We start from the raw sequence: 22,824 nt of genomic DNA, 5'->3' as shown, positions 1-22,824 counted from the left end.
ATAAAAACAGTAAAGGAAATAGGCATGAACACACAAGGCCAGATAACAGCAGTAACATTTTGGCAACTGAAAGGCAAACACAGTGGTAGCTAAGTTAGCAGACCAAGAAAACTTAATCAAAATTAGCTGGCATGGTGGTGCATGCCTGTGATTTCAGCTACTTGGGAGGCTGAGGCAGGAGAATCGCTTGAACCTGGGAGGCGGAGGTTGCGCCATTGCATTCTAGCCTGGGCAACAGGAGCGAAACTCCATTTAAAAAAAAAAAAAAAAAAAAACTTAATTCTAAACTGAAAGCAGGGAAAGATGAGAAGCAACATGACTGACATTACAGAACTCCCCCAAAGGGTGACTGACTAAATTAGTGGCACCAGATACCTTTGGAAGGGAATAGGGACTAAGAAGAAGATGACTGACTCGAAGTCTAAGAAGAAGCTAGGTCCTCAAATCTCCTTCCCCACTCCATCTACCTGAGTAACTGCCTCTTTAAAGCACTGTAGCAATTTTTTTCTTTTTAAACATTATTTTTTTCTGAGACACGGTCTCGCTCTGTCATCCGGAGTGCAGTGGTGCAATCACGGCTCACTGCTGCCTCAACTTCCCAGGCTCCAGTGATCATCCCACCTTGGCTTCCCAAGTAGCTGGGACCACAGGCGTGTGCCACCATGCCTAGCTAATTTTTGTATTTATGGTAGAGATGGGGTTTCGCCAGGTTGCCTAGGCTGAGCTCAGGCAATCCACCAATCTCTGCCTCCCAAAGTGTTGGGATTATAGGCATGAGCCACCAAGCCAGGCCTTTAATTTTTCTGAAGGTAAAACAGACTTCAGTCTTGGCGTCTTTGAACTAGGGGACGCCAGGCACAGACAACTTTTGTTCTCTGAGTAATTCTGGTCAACACTTAAGAAAATACCTAGACACTAATGTGAGGGGTTGTTTGAAGAACAATCCCTACCAGATACACCCCACAGTGAAGCCCAATTTTGACACGGACCACCCACTTGAAGTTTCCAATTGTTTTTTATAGTATTCCACTCTTAAAAGCGCAAACAGCCAAGGATTACCAGACAGCTGAAGAAAGTAACTATATGCAACAGACTATAATCATCTCCAGAGAACAAAAAAGAGCTTTTGGAAATTTAAAAACATACAAACACAAACAACAACAACAACAAAAACCCAGAAAACAAAAACCAAAAGAAATATAAAAACATTGTGTAAAAAAAAAAAAAAAAACCCCAGAGGCAGTGGTTCCTACCCAATCCCAACACTTTGGGAGGCTGAGGTGGGAAGATTGCTTGAGTCCAGGAGTTCAGGACAAGCCTGGACAACATACGGAGTGCCCATCTCTACAAAAAGTAAAAAAATTAACCAGGTGTGATGGTGTGGGCCTGTAGTCATAGCTACTTGGGAGTTTGAGGTGGGCGGATCACATGAGCCCGGGGAGTTCAAGGGTCCAGTGAGATATGATCATGCCACTGTGCTCCCACCTGGGCAACAGAGCAAGACCCTGTGTCAAAACAAACAAAAAACACCTGTATCCAAAATGAAGGCCGGGCACAGTGGCTGACGCCCATAACCTCAGCACTTTGGGAGGCCAGGGCAGGCAGATCACCTGAGGTCAAGAGTTCGAGACCAGCCTGGCCAACATGGTGAAACCACATCTCCACTAAAAATACAAAAATTAGCCAGGCGTGGTGGTGCATACCTATAATCCCAGGTACTCAGGAGGTTGAGGCACGAGAACCGCTTGAACCTGGGAGGCGGAGGCTGCAGTAAGCTGAGATTGCGCCATTGCACTCCAGCCTGGGCAAGAGAGCCCGACTCCGTCTCAAGAAAAAAAAGAAAAACTCAATAGAAGGGTTGGAATGTAAAATTTAGGAAATATTCCAGAAAGTATACCAACAAGACAAACAAGTAGAATAGAAATCAAGGGAAGCCCAAATTTATTCAAATTCAAAAATGAGAAGAGAGAATATGGAGGGGTATGAAAATTAAATAATTCAAGGAAAATGGGGACTAAGAAATCAGAATTTCAGATTAAAAGAGCTCACCGAAAGTCCATAATGAAAACAGACTCAGCACATCACATCTGTGTAAAATTTAAGAACAATGAAAACAGACAAAAGATCCTGAAAGATTCCAGAGAGAAACAAAATTCATAAGAAACCTAGAATCAGACTGGTGGAAAAGCAATGGAGTCCTCAACTGTGGATGCTAGGAGACAGTGGAGTAATAATGCTCCCAAAATTCCAAAGCAAAATGATTTTCAGCATAGGATTCTATTTCTAAACTATCAAGTATAGGGCTTCAATATACACATTTTAGATACACAAGGTATCAAAATTTACCTTTTGTATTCTTTTGCCCCCAAGTTCAAGAATGTACTCCAACAAAATAAAAATAAACCAAGTAAGGGGAAAACATGGGAGATCCAAGCCTAGAGAAAGGCAAAATGAGTCTCCAAAATTATGGTAAAGGGGGATCCTAAGACAACAGCAGTACAGGATGCCTAGAGAGAAGCCAGTCCACTGGACCAGGTTGGAGGGCTCAAAGACTTAATATACTTGACACATATCAAGACTGGATATATACAGATATGAGAAAAGTTAGGGATTTTAGTAATAAAGCAAATCTCCTACTGAAACAATATTGACCCTCATAAACTGCAGAATATCAGATCATATCTTGGACTATGATGAACGAACCACAACACTGTTACGTGATCCAGTTCCATCAGCCAAAAGGGGACTTCCTTATGTTATTATCTTTTATCCCCAATTTTTTATTTTGAGACCGAGTCTCACTCTGTTGCCCAGTTTGGAATCCATTGGTACAATCTTGACTCACCTCTGCCTCCCAGGTTCAAGCGATTCTCCTACCTCAGCCTCTGAGTAGCTGGGATTACAGATGCTCACCACCATGCCTAGGTAATTTTTGTATTTTTAGTAGAGATGGGGTTTCACCATATTGGCCAGGCAGGTCTTGAACTCCTGACCTCCAGAGATCTGCCCACTTCAGCCTCCCAAAGTGCTGGGATGACAGGCATGAGCCACTGCACCCAGCCTTATCCCCAATATTTAAGAATAAAATTGTATTCTCTCTACAGAAGTAACATGATCACATTTACTTTAAAAAAAAAAATCAATACCATGAATTCTTGGGAAAAAAATATCTAAACTTGATTTTATTACAGATCTCACCATCAGTTTATAGAAAATATAGGGAATGGAAGAGCATGTTTACCACCACCTAGAAATGTAAGAAGCCAAATCCAAAATATAGAAAATTCTATTGAAAAAATGAAAGGGAAAAAGGGAGGATGAATTGTTATATATTTAAAAAATCAAGAGATTATCAACTAAATGCAATATAAGGACTGTGGTGGATCTGAACAAACAGATGAGACAATTAGAAAACTTGGACCCCAACTAAAAATTATACCTTAAGAAACTACCACTAGTCTTTCTTAGGTGTGAATATGGTATTGAAACTGTGTCCCCAAGAGTTAAAAGATACCAACAACTAACAGAAATTCCTGAGTTTGCAGAATGGTAGATTAAACAATATGGCCAACTAGAGTCTGCACAGAACCAGCTTACTGATGTCACAGGCCCAATTTCCACCACAATTCATTCTAACTCCCCCAAATTTACACACGTGATCCATGAAATAACATGAAGAGATAACTGCACATGCCCAAGGACTTTCTAGACCTCCCCTTTCCTTCCACCAATCACCTACTAATCCCAGAATCTATCCCCTAAACCTTTTCTAATAAAATTGCTGCCTTAAAGCCAGCACAGATTTGAGCTGGACTCATGTCTCCTTGTTGGTCAACTTGAAAGAGGAAGCCTTTCTTTCTCAAAAACCTGGTGGCTTAGATAGTACTGGTTTCTAATGCATCAGATAGTGGGCTCCTTTTGTTCTATAACAATATCATGATTATGATTTAAAAACTAGAGCCTGTATTACTTAAACATATACTTAAGTATAAATTACTATAACGTCTAAGATCTGCTTTAAAATAATCCAGCAGGAGATGGCTGTAGACACAACAAGATGTTAATTGCTGAAGCTAGGTCATGGGTACATGAGATTTTATTATGCTATTCTGTCTACTGTTGTGCATCTGTTAAATGCTTGTAATGAACAGTTTTTAAAAATTCAATGTATCTTACCACTGGGTAGTCGAAGAGAAGACCACACATCCTGAACTCCCCAGTCTGGTGTGAGGGGAGGACAGCTGATAACTGGATATGCAGTGTTCCCAGACATCACTGGTCCCAAACCATTACTTCTGCCTGCCACTGCCACAAATACAGTAGGAATGCCATCCCCTAGGGAAATGACAAGAGTATAATTATGCTAAACATTCAAAACAGATTTAAAGACAGGGTTTTTTTTTTTTTTTGGTTTAAGGCCTATATGTTTTAATTACTTGAGGTCCTTGAATAGTCTTCTCTGAAAAAACATAAAAGATACTATTATTACACATATATTCAAAACATAAGGTTACTCTGCCACTTACTATAAGTCAAGTAATAAAGTAGCTGGAATCGGTTTGGTTGTTTTTGAGATCTACATTATAAAGGGGATAGCAGGGTGTCAGTGAGGGAATAGCTCATAGGCCTCTTCTATTGCTGTATAGGCTGGCCAAAGTGAAGAATGACACCATCTGAACAGGTGTCTTTCTTGACTGGGTGGTCCCTCAACTGGTGCAGGGAGAACCAGTTAATATAAACTAGGGGTTTAGGGACACGTCTTCAAACAAGAGTTGAAGGAAAGTTTAATTAATATAGTGTCCCCCAAATTTTAAGGCCCTTTGATACATTTTTTAACATAATCTCTTAAGCAATTCATTCTTTGATAAATTTATAAATTATCCTCCTGTTTCCTAAAGCAGAGATTTGTTAACCTAGAATCCAAAATTGTATGTATTTGCAATTTTCTGAAAAGAGTTCTAGAATTCATTAGCTATCAAAGGAGTCTGAGTTCCCCCAACCTCCCACTCCCCCAAAATTAGTAACTACACTTCCATAGCAACAACCTGTACACGAAATAATCAACATTTTTTTCCAGTTGAGAAACATTTGGTTGTAAACCCAGGGCTCCATTATTTTAGATCACTGCTATACCATTATTTTTTATGTACTATATTCTGAAACTGTTCTTTAATTTCCTATCTGACTGCCTCCCAGGAAAGGGTGGCAACTAAAGATTCCCGGGAGAACCGGCTATTTTAACCTCCCGCCTCCTGTAACTGTGGGGGCCTATTTTCTATTGGAGTATATTAGAAGCAATGCTCCAGGGGCTTCTTACCAGGTAAGGATGCCAGAGGTTCTCATCATTCTAGTCTTTGTTTTCTTTTCATACTTGCATTTTTAATTATTTCTCCCTGCTCCTTTCTTTTCTAAGCTTCTAGAATACCTTAAGCTCTTTGGAGGTGAGTATTAAGAAAGCCTAGCGGCCAGGCGTGGTGGCTCATGCCTGTAATCCCAGCACTTTGGGAGGCCAAGGCAGGCGGATCATGAGATCAGGTCAAGACCATCCTGGCTAACACAGTGAAACCCCGTCTCTATTAAAAATACAAAAAATTAGCCGGGCATGGTGGTGGGCGCCTGTAGTCCCAGCTACTTGGGAGGCTGAGGCAGGAGAATGGTGTGAACCCGGGAGGTGGAGCTTGCAGTGAGCTGAGATGGCGCCACTGTACTCCAGCCTGGGCGACAGAGTGAGACTCCATCTCAAAAAAAAAGAAAGCCTAGTATATCATGTGTTTTTCCCTTAGAAAACTGACAAAGCTCTTTTTTCAGCATTATTAGTCTAAAGTGTGTAATTACTTTTAGCAAAATCAGAAATACCTGAAATGTCCATATTACTTGTGGTTTACCTTCATACTCAGCTTTAATCCTCAGAGTTTCATCTGGTCCTTTATGCGCAGATGTTACTCGAAGTTCACATGGAATGCCAAAATTTCCACAGGCCTTCTTGATTTTTTCACAGTGACCAAGATCAGAAGTAGAGCCCATCAACACTACAACCCTGCACTGACTTTCTGATTTCAAAAGCAACTGAAGAAAAAATACGTGGATATGAAAAGAACATAAAAACAAAAATGAATAAATGAGCTAGAGTTTGTAGTAAAATTATATCTGGGCCCAATATTTTCTTTCTTAACAGATCAAATTTAAGACAGAGACAAACAACAAAAAGACAGGATTTATTTTTAAAAATCTCAATATATAAAGGAAAGTGGTCTTCATCAAGACCTAAAGAATTCAATTTTTATCAGACAAATTATTTAAAATAAACAGTAAAGATACTCAAAATCTTTTAATTTTCAGGAAATTATAATACAAAATATTTCATCCTAAGACCTTTAGTGCACTTTGTTTAATGGAAGCTTTAAGGTATGATTAGCCAAATCAGAAGTCATGTTCTAAGTCTTTGTAAGTTAATTGCTTGTAACTCAAAATATATATTCCTATAAGAATAATGTTCTCAAATGTGATTATGACCCTTGCATAATCACAAACCCCATTCAACTCCCAGAATTATAGTAATACCATAAAACTTAAAGGAATATTTAAAGTCACACAGAGTTCCATCCATCCCATGCTAATGGAACTCTGACTAGCAGTGCAGGTGAGTAGGAAATATAAGGTTTCTCCTACGGGGTAGGGAGGAGACAGATTCCAGGTTTCCCCAACAGGATCTGGGAGGTATGTATTGGCCAGCTTAACAGCACGGAGTTCCAGTATCCTAGTAAGGATAGCCCAGCTGATACATTTCCTAAAAGTGTTCCTCACTTTCAAAGTCACTGAAGAGCTGGGCGTGGTGGCTCACGCCTGTAATCCCGGCACTTTGGGAGGCCGAGGCAGGGGGATCACGAGGTCAGGAGATCAAGACCATCCTGGCTAACACGGTGAAACCCCGTCTCTACTAAAAATACAAAAAATTAGCTGGGCGTGGTGGCCAGCGCCTGTAGTCCCAGCTACTCGGGAGGCTGAGCTAGGAGAATGGCGTGAACCCGGGAGGCGGAGCTTGCAGTGAGCTGAGATGGCGCCACTGCACTCCAGCCTGGGCGACAGAGCAAGACTCCGTCTCAAAAAAAACAACAACAAAAAACAAAGTCACTGAAAAGAAAAGCACTATACTCTCCCATTTTTTTTTCTTTTGAAACAAGATTTTCTTAGAAGAAAAACACATAATACATACAGTTTTACTATAGAAGGTTTACCTCTACTCTCTCTGCAACCCACTCAAAGTTTTTCTTTACCATTTGGAGCCCTTCAGGAGTTACTTCTTTGAGGTCCCGATAAGACTAGAAAATAAGATAGAAAGTTTAGAAAACAAGTATCTCTTGCTACCTGAAACTATTTGGTTTCTGAGTTTTGGGGAGGGATTATGAAGAGTTTGTATAGCAAGGGATACTTCTGAAAATGCATCTTTTCACTTCCTGAATTAAACTAACAAAGTTCCATAGTAAAGTATACTTTTATTTTCACTTAAGGTTAAGTGTTTTCTGTACTAGCAACTACAATTAACTGCCTTGAGAATTTTTATATATTAAGTATAGAAAGGGTCTTGCTCTAATTTTGTTTTCTGTTATTTTTTATTTTAAATACATGTGCAGAATGTGCAGGTTTGTTACATAGGTATACATGTGCCATGGTAGTTTGCTGCACCCATCAACCTGTCATCTAGGTTTTAAGCCCCATATGCATTAGGTATTTCTCCTAATGCTCTCCCTCCCCTTGCTCCCCACCCTGCAACAGGCCCCGGTGTGTGTTGTTCCCCTCCCTGTGTCCATGTGTTTTCAGTGTTCAACTCCCACTTATGAGTGAGAACATGTGGTGTTTGGTTTTCCGTTCCTGTGTTAGTTTGCTGAGGATGATGGCTTCTAGCTGAATCCATTTCCCTGCAAAGGACATGATCTCATTCTTTTTCTTTCTTTTTTTTTTTTTGGAGACAGAGTCTCGCTCTGTCAACCAGGTTGGAGTGCAGTGGCACAATCTCGGCTCACTGCAACCTCCACCTCCCGGGTTCAAACAATTCTCTGCCTCAGCCTTCCGAGAAGCTGGGATTACAGGTGCCCACCACCATGCCTGGCTAATTTTTTTTTTTTTTTTTTTTTGAGACAAGGTTTCACTATCTTGGCCTGGTCTTGAACTCCTGACCTTGTCATCCACCTGCCTTGGCCTCCCAAAGTGCTGGGATTATAGGTGTGAGCCACCGCGCCTGGCCAATCTCATTCTTTTTTATGGCTGCATAGTATTCCATGGTGTGTGTATATCACATTTTCTTTATCCAGTCTAACACTGATGGGCATTTGGGTTGGTTCCATGTCTTTGCTATTGTAAATAGTGCTGCTCCTGTGCACGTGTCTTTACAGTAGAATGATTTATATTCCTTTGGGTATATACCCAGTAATGGGATTGCTGGGTCAAATGGTATTTCTGGTTCTAGATCCTTGAGGAATCACCACACTGTCTTCCACAATGGCTGAACTAATTTGCATTCCCACCAACAGTGTAAAAGCGTTCCTATTTCTTCATAGCCTCTCCAGCATCTGTTGTTTCCTGACTTTTTTAAAACAGCCATTCTGACTGGTGTGAGATGGTATCTCATTGTGGTTTAGGTTTGCATTTCTCTAATGATCAGTGATGATGAGCTTTTTTTCATGTTTGTTGGCTGCATAAATGTCTTCTTTTGAGAAGTGTCTGTTGTTTTATATAGGAGCAGAAATGTGGCCTGGTAACATGCAGGAGACTTGGAATAGAGTCCCAGATCTGTCCCTGACTCTAGTAATTGTGAAGATACCCATCCTCTTAAGACCCTTAGTTTTCATTTAGCCAAACAAAGATAATACTTGCTGTTACTGTTGTGACAATGTTATTAAGATAACAGATGAGAAATTTGCTTTATAAATGTAAAGTATTATTCCTATTATTCTTCTATTAGGATACCAGAGACATTTATCTTTAAAAATAAACAGCAATCCACAAAACAGGTTCATATCATTAGGAACAATAATTTGCTTTTTCCCCTCATCTCTCCTTTCTCCTCTATCTCAGCTTGATCTCAAAAAGGATAAAAAAACCTGAAGCATTATCTACCTGTTTGTCTTTCTGTTGGCTTCGATCTCCTGATGGCCAGAGTCTCCAGGAATCATTGTCAATAACATCAGCAAGAACAATTTCTTTGGTGGTTACATCAACACCAAATTCAATCTGGAAACAGCATGTCAACAAAGTTTTCAAAAACTATTTTATGAAAGCATCTCTCAACTATAACCTTTACTTTCAAATCCTGTTGTTTTATCTGTACTTGTTTTATCTGTACCTTCATATCAACCAGTGTACAATTCTGGGGCAACCAGGATTTCTCCAGTATTTCAAATATAGCCTGTGTAGCATGACTCATGATATCCACTTCAGTCTGGCCTATAAGAAGTCCAGCAAAGCAAAATTTTGCAGCAATCAGCTGTTCCTCAGACCACTGTGGGTCATTATTGGCATCATCCTGTGAATAAAGTATAGTAGTACAATTAACTTCAATCTAAAATTTTTAAACTTTTCAGAAAAACCAACATCCTTTTCACCTTGAGCATGAACTCCTTAGAAATTTTTAGCCACAGCCGGGCATGGTGGCTCATGCCTGTAATCCCAGCACTTTAGGGGGCTGAGGTGGGCGGATCACAAGATCAGGAGTTCGAGACCAGCCTGGCCAACACAGTGAAACCCTGTCTACTAAAATTACAAAAAATTAGCTGGGTGTGGTGGTGTGCACCTGTAATCCCAGCTACTTGGGAGGCTGAGGCAGGAGAATCATTTAAACCCGGGAGGTGGAGGTTGCAGTGAGCTGAGAGAGCGCCACTGCACTCTAGCCTAAGCAACAGAGGGAGACTCCATCTCAAAAAAAAAAAAAAAAAAGAAAAGAAATTTTGATCCAGGTGCAGTGGCTCACACTGTAGTCCCAGTAATTTAGGAGGCTGAAGCAGGAGGATCGCTTGAGCCTAGGAGTTCAAGAGCAGCCTGGGCAACAAAATGAGACATCTAAAGAAATTTTTTGTTTACGATACTCCTTAATTCAAAGCAATTATTACTCCTCTTTTTTTTCCTAGTTAGCTCCTGCAAGCAGAAAAAACTATTACTCTTAATTTGTTTACTCTCAATAGCACTTTAAAATTCAAAGTATTTAGGTGAGTAACTTATTCTAGGTCACAAAGTATTTCAAAGAATTTAACCTCTATAAACCAATTTAAACAGAATTTAAGTTTGTGATTTTTGTTTTTCCTTAATAACAGTCATCAGACATGACAGGAAGGCCAAAGCACATTTTAATCAATCAAATCTTTCCAAAACCACCGTTCTCATAACCTCCCAACCTCACTTTTTATTAGAATTTATACAGCACTATAATTTTTTAGGGACATTATTTGATAATTCAAGAGACCTCAGACAAAGAGGTAAGTGAAAAAAATGAAATAATTTCATTTTATTCTCAGCAGTGTCCCAACTTTACATGACAATATCTTTATAAATTCTTGATCTATATAATCATAATACACACAAGTTACATAACTCATTGATTAAAAAGCAAGACTGATATTGCTTCCCAAGCAGATCTATGCTTAACAGCATAAATCAAGATGGTTAAAAGCAGTAAAGCCTACAAAATTCATAACCACTGATTCTTACAACCTTTATTTATATATTTTCACTTACAAGAGACATTGTTAGTATAGTTTTCCTGTATTAGAATATAAAAAGATTTCAACTAAATTTTAAAAAAATTAACTAAATGTTACTTTTCTCTTCTTCCTGTTAGTCATCTTGGTTCAAAGGTAAGATTTTCAGATGCTTTCTTTTTAAAATTTGATTTATCATTGTTAATGGAAGTGTACATTATTGACATTGGCAACTAGATAAGACAAATTTTGGAATGACATTTGCAATATCAAAATATCAAAAACTTTGCTTGAATATTTAAACCTTTAGAGTTTCTAATTATAAATTTATTGCCGTGTTACAGTAAGACATAAAACAGAGGCATAAGATAATTACCTTGAAAAACAACTCCACTTTAGGTGGGTAAAACTTATATCCTTCCTTGACACCAGGATTTCTTTTGAGAAAAGAACCAGTTGCTATTCTTCTGCAAACCCATTCAATTGGAATCATTTCACACTGCGGTGCAATGAAAGCTGTCTCCCCACATTTTCTGGTGAAGGCAGTTTTAATACCTACATATTGATAACCAAAGTTAAAAAAGGTATTGAAATGATATGTAAAAAGGTAGATCTGAGGCACAATAAAACTCTACCCTTTACAAGCAACAAAGAACCTCTATCAAAAATAAGTGTAATTTTTCTCTTTATTTAATGTAGATGCGGTCAGTTGTTGACTCAAACAGTAAGCAGCACATGACTATACATACAATGTATTGTTCAGCCATAAAAAGGAACGAAATTCCTGATACATCCATGCTATATAATATGGATGAAGCTTAAAAACACTAGGCTAAATGAAAAACACAAAATGCAAAAGAACAAATACTTACGATTTGACTTATATGAGGTAACTAGAATAGGCAAATTCAGACAGAAAAGAGAATGGAAGTTACCAAGGGCTGAGGAGTGGGAGGAATAGTTATTGTTTAATGCTACACAGTTTGTTTGGGATGATGAAAAAGTTCTGGAAATGGATAATGGGATGAATGTACAACATTGTGAATGCACATAATGCCACTGAATTGGACACTTAAAAATGGTCAAACTGGTAAATTTTATGTATTTATCACAATTTTCTTTTAAAAAATATCAGGAGCCTATTTTATGGCAGATATTGTTCCAACCATTTTAAATACATCTTTTTTGTTTAATCCTCATAACATTTGATAAGATACTATTAAGATCAACAAAACAGGTAAGGACACTAAGACACAGTAGTAATGTCAGCTAGTATTAGGTATAGCAGGATTTCCAACCTACCCTGTCTCTAGGAGCCGCCCACTTAACCACTTTGCTGTATTGCCTCTCCTGGAAGTGTTATTACATCACAGTACAAAGTAATGCTACAGCATTAACATGATTTAAAATATCTCCTGGAAACCTACATGGGTTTGAGATAATGCTTATTTTCAGCCTGCATTACTATTTCCAATCCCAACCTAATCCTCTAGTCTAACTTTTATTATCAGGAAAGAATTGGGGATCTTTGCTGTTATATGTGTATCTGTACATGAAGGGAGCTTCTATTTATGGAAATCCTCCACTGTGCTAAGTGTCTTATATATGTTGTCTCATTTAACTGTGCATAAAATTTTGAGGTAGGTTTTTTTGTTTTTTTGGTTTTTTTTTGAGACAAAGTGTCACACAGGCTGGAGTGCAGTGGCGTGATCTTGGCTCACTGCAACCTCCGCCGCCTGGGTTCAAGAGATTCTCCTGCCTCAGCCTCCTGAGTAGCTGGGATTACAGGTGTGCACCACCACGCCTGGCTAATTTTTGTATTTTTAGTAGAGACAGGGTTTCATCATGTTGGTCAGGAACTCCTGATCTCGTGATCTGCCCACCTTAGTCTCCCAAGGTGCTGGGATTACAGGTGTGAGCCACCGCGCCTGGCCTTGAAGTAGGTATTATTATTTATACATTTTACAGTGAAAAAAACAGAGGCTCAAAGAAGTAATTTCACACACTAGGTCATGTAGCCATTTGGTAATGGAGCCTGGACTTGAAACGCACTGTCCAAACCCTACACTATTTCCTCTGCCCTCTCTTTGAATCTGACTCGTAAGACTCAAATGAAAAAAAGAAAGAATTGTGGTATGTTGCATGAACAGAAACCCTAAGGAAAAAATGAAAAGAGGGGAAGTAAAACTGTCATTTTAACCTTTAAAAAAAAATTAGATGCAATCTGTTGTTTAACTTTTAATGAATGATCAGGCTCATGGATAGACAGGTGACTTCAATCAATTCTCAACTTGGGGTGGTAACTACATCCTTGGTTTCAAGAGCTCTTCTCTCTTAGATCTGTTAATCATTAGTCACATATTTGCTCATTTGTCTACCAAGCTGGACACAGTAGTATCCAATTTTATTGTTTTTAATATAAAGATAACTTCGTCTTAGAGAGATCCCCCCGCCAATCCCAAGGAGAACCAAAAGCACATAATGAAGCTACAGTAATCATCTCTGCACAAAAAATCCCTAAAAGTTTCTAAAACAGACTCAGTTTAGATGACATAATGATGGCTTCTAATACTGCTAAATATGAAAGCAAATTCCATGACTGTGCATGGTGAGAAAAAAATTCCCATTGTTTATCTTAGTTGTCTACAAAGCTCAAAACTCTCATTCAGGTTACTAAAAAATGTTTATGTCACTGACACACTCTGGATTACAATGAACATATATTAGCTAGAATAGTAATTCTAGCTAATACATATGTCCCCGTGGCCATCCCTCTTTTAGATTGGTCCAGATGCCCATCTGTGGTTTAGCAACTGTAGTACCGTTCTTCATATACTAGTATTACACTTAATGTAATTATAGTGAGTTTCTGTGAGGAAATTGGGATTTCATCATCACTAAGAAGGCCAGATTTTAATTTTTAAGTAATAAAACCAAATCCACAAATTGTATAACACAGTTATAACACAGTTATACTATTTCCACGGAAAAAGATTACTTCTTATTTATATAGTCCTTTACAGTTTGTTCCTGAGTGACAATGAGAAAAGTAGAATCCTGATTTTCTGATTCTCATTCCAATGCTCTTTCCTCTCTACTTTCTACCTTAATTTGGAACACAACCCAGGTTGTAAAGAAAACAGTTTTAAATAGACCACTGATGGCCAACTAGATAAGGCATTTATTTGACTAAGCAAGTAAAAATTACATAAGGTTTAATGGAATTCCTAATATGTACCCTAAAACTAGTCTGTTTAGAAATTTTAAAAAATTCAGGTTTACTTAGTTTCATAGTACTAGACATAAAATCTGGAAAATATCTTTCAACATTTCCTGTGAACCAGTTAAGTTTTAGCTATGTTAAGTGCCAAATAAAGTAGTTTAAAGATAATTATTGGAGTATTTCATTTAGGTAACCATCCTTCCCTGTTCCCCTGATCACAGGACTCTTCAGAATTAAAGCAGAAAGTCCTGGACAAACATAACACAACTGAGTCACTCTAATTTACTTGTTATAAAGTTCTGGAAATGGATAATGGGATGAGTGTAAATACACTCAGAAAATACACTAAATAAGCAAATAAAAAGTCAGGCTTTATCTTCCATTACTTAATATAATCCTGTAGCTATGTGAAACTACCAAGGGTACACAGAAAGTAATCTTCTGACTGCTAACATTTTAAAGAGTTAAGCACTTTAAAAAATGTTTAAGTGAATGGGGAGAGTTAAAACTTGGGAAGAAAAAAAAAAATCGATGGAACAGGCCGGGTGTGGTGGCTTACGCCTGTAATCCCAGCACTTTGGGAGGCCAATGCGGGTGGATCACTTAAGGCCAGCAGTTCGAAACCAGCCTGGCCAATATGGCAAAACCTCGTCTCTACTAAAAATACAAAAATTAGCCGGGTATGGTGGCGTGCACCTATAACTGTAATCCCAGCTACTGGGGAGGCTGAGGCATGAGAATCGCTTGAACCCAGGAGATGGAGGTTGCAGTAATCCGAGATTGTGCCACTGCACTCCAGCCTGGGCAACAAAGCAAGATTCTGACTTAAAATAAATAAAAAAATAAAATAAATAAATAGATGGAACACTTATCGGTATTGCAAAAGGAACCCAAAATTAATTTGATGCTCTCTTTAGAAATTACCTCAGTCATTGGGAAGCTACCAATCAAGAAACCTTGAAATAAAAATCTTAGATTCTGTGACTTAGGAACTCTGGAAGATCCTTTAAATTTACAGCAATACACTCACTTTCACAGCATAGAGGAATTTATGATGTAGATGACAATCCAGGTTTGCAATTAAATCTTTTTCACATTAATCAAAATTGTGAAATAGGATACTTTGGAAGAGACAAAACTACGCCAAGAATGCACTGACAATGTATTTAAATTACATTACCTTGTTATTTTGTGGAAGGCACGTACATCTAACTTAACTGAAAACAAAAGCATTAAATCCCCTGTTGAATTTAAGAAAGATTAGTGCTACCAGAAACTCTAAGAAATGAAAGGGCAACTGGGAATATTGGAATTAAAAGTAAGGAAAGTTATTAAATTATAAAATTAGAATTGGCAAGAATGATAAAGAAAAAGCTTTTATTTCATAGGTAAGGTTTCGTAGGTTGAATGATCCAAAGCAATGAGGCTATTTACACTGTGTGGCAAGAGTTCAAATCTTTTCCTAGCTGAAATTTCATATACTACAGACCAACCAGCAACTGACTGAATCCCTGCAGAAAACCCCTTTATCCTAATTTCCTTCCCTTTGCTTCAAATACCCACCACACAATGTTCTGATCTTCATTTGGTCTTTTGAATCTATTTCTCTATTGAAAATAGAGCCTTCATTCAGTTTTTGAACAGGAGGGCGCTCTGGGGTTTTAGTTCAAATATCTCACTTGGGGAATGGCAGGAGGAGAAGGTTTGGTTGCTGTCTTCAACTACTTTTCAGGGCTTTCAAGTGGAAGAGGAATTTGAAATTCTGTATTATCTCCCAGAGGCAGAACAAAGACCATTTGTATAGAATTACAGGGAGTAAATTTCAGTTCTTCATGTTAGAACTGCTTAACATTAAAATGGGTTTCCTTCATAGTTAAATTCCTTAAAGTGAAGATGGCCTTGGAGAGGTAAGCTGCACAGAGAGTGCATGTGCCAGATAAAGATTACAGCAAACTTGTTAAGATTCCTTTTAATTCAATGATACTAATAATCCCAAACCAAATAAGGTGTTATAGTGAAGTTTAAGGGTTCTTGGTTTGATTTAAATTCACTTAGCTTTTGAGACATCTGCAAACAAGTTGTTCATATTAATGCCAACTTCACATGAAAGACATCGACATGCTTACCAGAGAAGGTGAGAGAAGAGACTTTGAGGGAGCTGCTTACCTGCTTCCTGTAATAACTGAAAAATACAACTGGTGATTTTATTTGAGATTGCAGCTTTTCCTTCCAGGTGGTTTTTTCTAGCTGCATTTCCTGCTGTAATCTGGTCCTTGGACTGCAGGAGGACTTTTCCTGGACTGTCTAACAATTCGTAGACTTCTTTTGTTTTACCCTCATATAATTTTTTACCAATGTTCAGTACTGTGGAAATAAAATGGAAATAGACCAAAATTCAGAAACTTCCTGAATGCTGAAGACTAAATCACCTAGAACAATTAATCTGTAAATATACAGTGATTAAGTAATATTAATAAAAATTAAATCATCTGTATAAAACCATATACTCTACAATGTATTTCTCATACCATCACATTTGATTCACATGATCTTGTGAAGAATTTTAATTACATAAATAATTGTAGAAATTAGTAAAGCAGAAATCAAAAGGGTTGAGGGTCATGCAGTTAGGAAATATAAGAGGTAGATAAAATCCTAACTCCTCTGACATCAAATCCTGTGCTCTTTCCACTATTAACCTGCCTCTCATAGCAGAACTGAACTAGAATTAAAATTAATTAAGACCCACTTAAAGTAATGTAACTATACTAGTATTTTCACAGACACACTCACAGTATAGTATCTAAACTATCTTGCAGGAAAAAATATGCGATTTTTGCTGATATTTGCTTTTTTGTAGGCAAAATGGGAACATTCAGCCAGATGAGTTTCTTGATTTCAAGTTAATATTCAAGAGGAGGCATGCCATCCCATTGAAGTTAGCACATTTGGAAGCATCCCTCTCTATTTCTTAATCCTGTCCCTGCCCCCATTAATCCTTTCTCTTCACTAACAGTTGTAAGAAATTGTGAGGAAGTGAGCACAAAGGAATCCAATTTTGATGCTGGTCACAAAACCTAAGAAGTACACAAAAGGATGATTTAGAGAAAGAGTAAAGATAACAGATGTTTAGGAACTTAAAATTTCGAAAGAGAGAAATCAACCCTCATACTTCCACAACACTCTCAGTATCAACATTTTCCCGGTGTATCCATGTGCCAAGGGATGTACCAGTAAATAATAATTCCTGCTCTCAAGAGACCTGAGTCTGAGGGGAGCTGATATTAAATAAGACATCATAATAATAGAATGCAATAAATACAGACTATGGGACTAGTCTAGACATTAGAAAAAGAAGTCTACAAGAAAGTGACAGGTTGAAATCTGAAGAATCATCGAAATTTAGCCAAAGGAGAGAAAGGGGTAGGTAGTGTTGATGAATAAATACAAGGTGGTCAAAGTGGATTGCAGAACTTCAGTCTGGTTGGAGCTGGAGCTCTGGGTATATGTACATTGCTGTTGGGCAGGGGAAGGGGTGGGGGCTGCAGCTAAAGAATGGCAGGAGACAAGACTTAAGAGTTGGACAGGGGCCACATCACCAGCTAGTGGAGGTAACCATTAAACAAAGTAGTTGTAATTTAGTTAACAGTTGCCACTGTAGGGCACCTAATTTAGAGGATGAATCTCTACCCTCCCTAATGTAATGTCTAGACTCATTAACATGGTTTAAAAGTCCCTTTAAGATACAGCCCTGGCTTACTGCTCCAAACTCTTATTTGTCTATTTCCTATCTAGAACTCCAACATCTTTAATTCTTATACAATCTTCCCCTAGCTTCTGACAATCTCTTCTTTCCTAGGCCTGGAAAACTTCCCTTCCATTTTGCTACACATCCTTCTTGTTTCACAAGCCATGCTGATTGAGTTTAGACTTTAACCCAAGAAGAGCTATAAGGCTTTTAAGTGCTAAAGCAAAACGCTATTTGGAAAGATCATTACGGCTTCTGTATGGACAATGAAGGGAGGAAGGGGTGAGTGAACAAAAACTAGAGCTTGGAAGACCAGTTAGGATGCTGTTGCAGTAACTTGAACAAGAAACGTCTGGCCAGGTGCAGTGGCTCACATCTGTAATCTCAGCACTTTAGGAAGACAAGGAGGGCAGATTGCTTTAGCTCAGGAGTTCAAGACCAGCCTGGGCAACAGGGCAAAATCCCATCTCTACCAAAAAAACAAAAATTAGCCCAGCATGGTGGTGCATGCCTGTAGTCTCAGCTACTTGGGGAGGTCGAGGCCGCAGTGGGCCAAGATTTGCACTATTTCACTCAAGCCTGGGTGATAGAGTGAGACCCTGTCTCAATAAAAAAAAAGGAAAAGAAAAAGAAATGTCTTGGTCTAAGGAAAGAGTAGTGGGCAAAGATGCAAGATATTTAAGATAGTAGCTTTGAGAATTCATCATGGAGGATAAAAGAGAGGGAAGGGTAAAGAACAGTGGGCCGGGAACAGTGGCTCATGCCTGTAATCCCAGCACTTTGGGAGGCCGAGGCGGGCGGATCACTTGAGGTTAGGAGTTCAAGACCAGGCTGACCAACATGGTAAAATCCTGTCTCTACTAAAATTACAAAAATTAGCCGGATGTGTTGGTGCACGCCTGTAATCCTTGCTACTTGGGAGGCTGAGGCAGGAAAATCGCTTGAACCTGAAAGGCGGAGGTTGCAGTGAGCTGAGATGGCGCCACTGCACTCCAGCCTGGGCAAGAGAGGGAGACTCCGTCTCAAGAAAAAACAAAAACAAAAAAAACAGTGCCCAGATCAGATAAAGAAATTAACATTTATATATATTAATATGCAGTAAGCCCGGGCAAAGTTTGTATCTAATGCCCCTCCCCTTAATTTAGTTGAATCTGTATTACTTAGTCATTAAAGAGGGAAGGAATTTGAATTAATGGGTAGAAACAACATAAGAAACAACCATACGTGACATACCCTGCAAGTACCAAAATGGTTGCTACAAATTTGTAGATGAATTCTGGAAAGATTGATGAGGACTGAAAATGATTCATGGAATTGAAATTTAAGAGTCTGGGAAAGCACAGAATTTACACAAAGGATAAGAAAATTCTAGGACTCTGCTGTCCAATAAGGCAGCCACTAGAAATGTGGCTATTACAAGTTGAAATGTCATTTGTTAAAATATATACTGCATTCGATATAAAAAATTGTAAAATATCTAAAGAATTTTTCATCTTGACTCCATGTTGAAATGTATTTTGTGTATATAGGGTTAAATAAAATATATTAAAATGGGCTCACGCCTGTAATCCCAGCACTTTGGGAGGCTGAGACAGGCAGATCACTTGAGGTCAGGAGTTTGAGACCAGCTTGGCCAACATGGCAAAACCCTGACTCTACTAAAAAATACAAAAAAAAATTAGCCGGGTGTGGTGGAGTGTGCCTGTAATCCCAGCTACTTGGGGGGCTGAGGCAGGAGAATCACTTGAACCTGGAAAGTGGAGGGTGCAGTGAGCTGAGATCTTGCCACTGCACTCCAGCCTGGGCCACACAGAGCGAGACTCCATTTCAAAAACAAAGCAAAACAAACAAAAAACAACAACAAAAAAAACCTTTTATATATATATATATATATATATATATATATAAACACATTGCACCAGTTTTTTTTATTATTTTACTTTTTAAAATGTGGCTTATAGAAGACAAATTTACATTATATTTCCATTAGCCAGCAATGTTCTGGGAAAAATAATATAAATAAAATGTATATAATGAAAAACAAACTTTGGTGAATTAACCTGACTGGAACATAGCTAAGGATTCACAGGAGAGAAAAATCAAAGTTAGGGCTGAAGAGGTAGAAGGGATAGCAGTATTCAGGATTTGAATGAAAAGGGATTTCAGACTGGACAGACTGGATTTAACATCTCTAGAGATGCCATTTTTGCCTTTGTTGCCACTTTTGCCTTTTAGAGACCATAAAAGTGACATTTAAGAAAAATCAACCTGCCAACGGTACACAAATGGAAAGAAGTGGAAGAGCAAAGATTTTAGAGATTTGCCATTTTAGAGGTACAGGTACCATGATTGCAAGAAAAATTCTGGTCCTTGCCTTGATTCTAGGGAGTTGATACTCAATATCATCTGAATCTTTTTTGCTGAGTCTACAGCTTTTTTTTTTTTTTTTTTTTTTTTTTGAGACAGAGTCTCTCTCTGTCGCCAGGCTGGAGTGCAGTGGCGCGATCCCGGCTCACTGCAGCCTCTGACTCCCCGGTTCAAGTGATTCTCCTGCCTCAGGTTCCCGAGTAGCTAGGATTACAGGCATACGCCACCACGTCCAGCAAATTTTTGCATTTTTAGTAGAGCCGGGGTTTCACCATGTTGGTCAGGATGATCTCGATCTCCTGACCTCGTGATCCGCCCGCCTGGGACTCCCAAAGTGCTGGGGATTACAGGCGTGAGCCACAGCGCCCGGCCTGAGTCTACAGCTTTTTAAAATCTGAATTCAGTTACTTTCTATGTGGAAAAGAATGTACCCAGCAGCCACAAAAGCAATTTGCCTCACTATACATATAGCAACTGGGTGTGTGGAAAAAACCAGCATTTGTTTTTTTCCAGCATAAATAGCAAGAACAATCTTTCCTGATAGTGCAACTTTTTTGCCTAAAGGTTTTGGAGTTCTTCAAAGCCATCGTGGCATCAAAGACTACTGGAACGAACACACACACACACACACACACACACACACACACACACACACCATCATGGCATCAAAGACTACCTAAAAACAGCCCCCCTCCCCAGCCATCATGGAATCAGACTACTTCAACACGCGCGCGCACACACATACACACCCATGACATCAAAGACTACTTAAACACGCACACGCACGTACACACACCCCAAGCTATCGTGGCATCAAAGACTACTTCACGCGCGCGTGCACACACACACACACACCATGGCATCAAAGACTACTTACACACACGCCCCCTAGACAGGTTTTTCTTTTTCTTTTTTGAGACGGAGTCTCGCTTTGTCGCCCAGGCTGGAGTGCAATGGCGCGATCTCGGCTCACTGCAACCTCCGCCTCCGGGTTCAAGCGATTCTCCTACCTCAGCCTCCTGAGTAGCTGGGGATTACAGGCGCGCGCCACCACGTCCAGCTAATTTTTTGTATTTTTAGTAAGAGACGGGGTTTCGCCATGTTGGCCAGGCTGGTCTCGTACTACTGACCTCAGGTGATCCGCCCGCCTTGGCCTCCCAAAGTGCTGGGATTACAGGCGTGAGCCACCAGGCCCGGCCTCTAGACAGGTCTTTCAAAAGTTTCAATTATTAACCTTCTTAGAAAGGTCATTAACCTAACGGGCAAAGCAAGACTCAGGTTTTGACGAATCAAGACTGATTTGCTTGTATTTTGCAATAGCTATTGATTATAAATAATACTTCCAGGCACCTTTCCACCCCTTGGCCATTTCTCGTTCTCCTCTACTTTGCTCCTTCTCCCCATCCCCGAGGCAGTAAAGTTCGGGGAGGCCCGGGAGCGCCTGGGCCACGTGTGCGCCCGCGCGGCTGCCTAGAGGCGCTGCTGCAGGGAGGCGGGACAGAGTTTCGCGGCTCGCACGTGGCCGCGAGCTCACGGCCTGGGGGTCAGGGAGACCGTGAAGGGCCCGGATCCCTGTTACTCACCCTCAGCTGTCGCCATTATCCTAAGTGGGCTGAGGGCTGCGACCGCGCCGGGAAGCGAGGCAGAACTCTAGAAAAGAGGGGTGGTCAGAGAGCTTCGCTGGGCGGGGAAGGAGGCGGGGCCGCGCGACCCTGCGCCACTCTTTTCGAGCTCCGCTACAGCCGCCTAACCCGGAGGGGTATGGGCGGAGACTGAAACGCGGATATCGGACGAAACAACGCCCCACTGGCTTCCCGCCGCGCAGGCGCAGAGACGCGACCCCGCCTCCGGGCCGCCCCGCGCTGGCGCAGTGCCCGGACAGGCGAAAAGTGGCGCGCACTGGCGGCCCCTCCCCACTCTGCGGAAGCTCGCATACCCCGGCCCCTTCTCGGCTGCGGGAGCGACTCAGAAGTTGGAGCGTACCAAGTCTTGACGGCCTGGGGGAAGCATGCAGGGAAGGGCATATGAAGGCTAAATGCTCTGAAAGAGAAATGAGGTTAAGTCCGTTACTCCCATTACGCTACTGTTGGGTGCTGGAAAATAACGGAGATTTCCACGTGCAGCAAATACAGCTTTCCAGGCAGCTCTTAGGGGAAGGCTAGCTCCACCCTACAGCATCCGTGACCCCGCCCCTCAGCCGCGGGACCGCCCCTCCGCCCTCGCTCGTTGGTGGACTCGGAGGGGGAGGAGCAGGGCTGAGCTGGCCACGCCACCTAGGGACAGCGCGCGCCGCCGCAGTAGCTGGGGCCACCCTCGGGAAGGAAGAGCCTGTCGCGAGCGCGAGCTTCTGAGCTCGACGGGCCGAGCTGGCAGCTGGTTGGTGCTTACACCTTGGCCGCAGCGGCAGGTCCTTCCACGTGCTTTCGGCGGCGACATGGAGCTGGAGGAGTTGGGGATCCGAGAGGAATGTGGCGTGTTCGGGTGCATCGCCTCAGGAGAGTGGCCCACGCAGCTGGATGTACCGCATGTGATCACTCTGGGACTCGTGGGGCTGCAGCACCGGTGAGCAACAGGGTGGGGGTGGCGGGGGCGTGCGTCTCCATCTCTCGGAGCCGCTTCCCGCAGTCGGCGTTCTCATGAGCGCCCGAGGGCCCGGGAGGACCGACCTCTCCGACCTAAGCCAGTACCTGCCTGTGGCGTCGACCGGGTTGCCTAGGCGTGCACGAGGGGCACCTCGCTTCCATGAACTTTAGCCTGTCCTGCCCACCCTCCCAGCCACTTATGCCTTTTAGGGGCTC

At 40.7% G+C, this 22,824-nt stretch overlaps 2 protein-coding genes across 11 annotated transcripts in view, besides 4 other annotated features; one reads left to right on the top strand and one right to left on the bottom strand.

Annotated features, from left to right (window-relative positions):
• The window catches only part of PAICS (phosphoribosylaminoimidazole carboxylase and phosphoribosylaminoimidazolesuccinocarboxamide synthase), a 54,072-nt gene that overhangs the window by 6,641 nt on the left and 24,607 nt on the right, over nucleotides 1-22,824 (bottom strand). For 2 of the 9 annotated variants that reach the window (NM_001392010.1, NM_001392011.1), the window contains 9 exons: nucleotides 21,610-21,676; nucleotides 16,078-16,275; nucleotides 11,561-11,581; nucleotides 11,065-11,243; nucleotides 9,341-9,520; nucleotides 9,115-9,228; nucleotides 7,236-7,319; nucleotides 5,886-6,066; nucleotides 4,177-4,335 (listed from right to left, as the gene is read on the bottom strand). In NM_001392010.1, coding sequence (NP_001378939.1) covers nucleotides 4,177-4,335; nucleotides 5,886-6,066; nucleotides 7,236-7,319; nucleotides 9,115-9,228; nucleotides 9,341-9,520; nucleotides 11,065-11,243; nucleotides 11,561-11,581; nucleotides 16,078-16,275; nucleotides 21,610-21,676 — 1,183 coding nt within the window. Of the gene's footprint in view, nucleotides 1-4,176; nucleotides 4,336-5,885; nucleotides 6,067-7,235; nucleotides 7,320-9,114; nucleotides 9,229-9,340; nucleotides 9,521-11,064; nucleotides 11,244-11,560; nucleotides 11,582-16,077; nucleotides 16,276-21,609; nucleotides 21,679-21,962; nucleotides 21,981-22,009; nucleotides 22,187-22,824 lie in introns of those variants that run through there. The other 7 variants (XM_047449527.1, NM_001392012.1, NM_006452.4 and 4 more) reach the window with 6 other exon arrangements.
• Nucleotides 20,708-21,591: an enhancer, noted in NCBI's record as "H3K27ac hESC enhancer chr4:57302513-57303396 (GRCh37/hg19 assembly coordinates)". NCBI's record gives its function as "activates a minimal SCP1, AML or CMV promoter by ChIP-STARR-seq in naive H9 embryonic stem cells {active_cell/tissue: H9 hESC(naive)}" and the evidence as "EXISTENCE:reporter gene assay evidence [ECO:0000049][PMID:30033119]".
• Nucleotides 21,719-22,008: a silencer, noted in NCBI's record as "silent region_15450". NCBI's record gives its function as "represses an Ori minimal core promoter by ATAC-STARR-seq in GM12878 lymphoblastoid cells {active_cell/tissue: GM12878}" and the evidence as "EXISTENCE:reporter gene assay evidence [ECO:0000049][PMID:35858748]".
• Nucleotides 22,149-22,348: a silencer, noted in NCBI's record as "silent region_15449". NCBI's record gives its function as "represses an Ori minimal core promoter by ATAC-STARR-seq in GM12878 lymphoblastoid cells {active_cell/tissue: GM12878}" and the evidence as "EXISTENCE:reporter gene assay evidence [ECO:0000049][PMID:35858748]".
• PPAT (phosphoribosyl pyrophosphate amidotransferase) overlaps nucleotides 22,323-22,824 on the top strand; it is a 42,254-nt gene continuing 41,752 nt past the window's right edge. For both annotated transcript variants that reach the window (NR_156493.2, NM_002703.5), the window contains exon 1: nucleotides 22,323-22,588. Coding sequence is in view for 1 of the 2 variants with exons in the window: in NM_002703.5 (NP_002694.3) it covers nucleotides 22,461-22,588 (128 nt within the window). In the remaining variant the exon portion in view is untranslated. The remainder of the gene's footprint in view (nucleotides 22,589-22,824) is intronic.
• Nucleotides 22,439-22,618: an enhancer, noted in NCBI's record as "active region_21579". NCBI's record gives its function as "activates an Ori minimal core promoter by ATAC-STARR-seq in GM12878 lymphoblastoid cells {active_cell/tissue: GM12878}" and the evidence as "EXISTENCE:reporter gene assay evidence [ECO:0000049][PMID:35858748]".

The sequence above is a fragment of the Homo sapiens genome, chromosome 4, assembly GCF_000001405.40.
Source record: "Homo sapiens chromosome 4, GRCh38.p14 Primary Assembly".
Lineage (NCBI taxonomy): Eukaryota > Metazoa > Chordata > Mammalia > Primates > Hominidae > Homo > Homo sapiens.
This window is presented reverse-complemented; position numbering and strand designations above follow the sequence as displayed.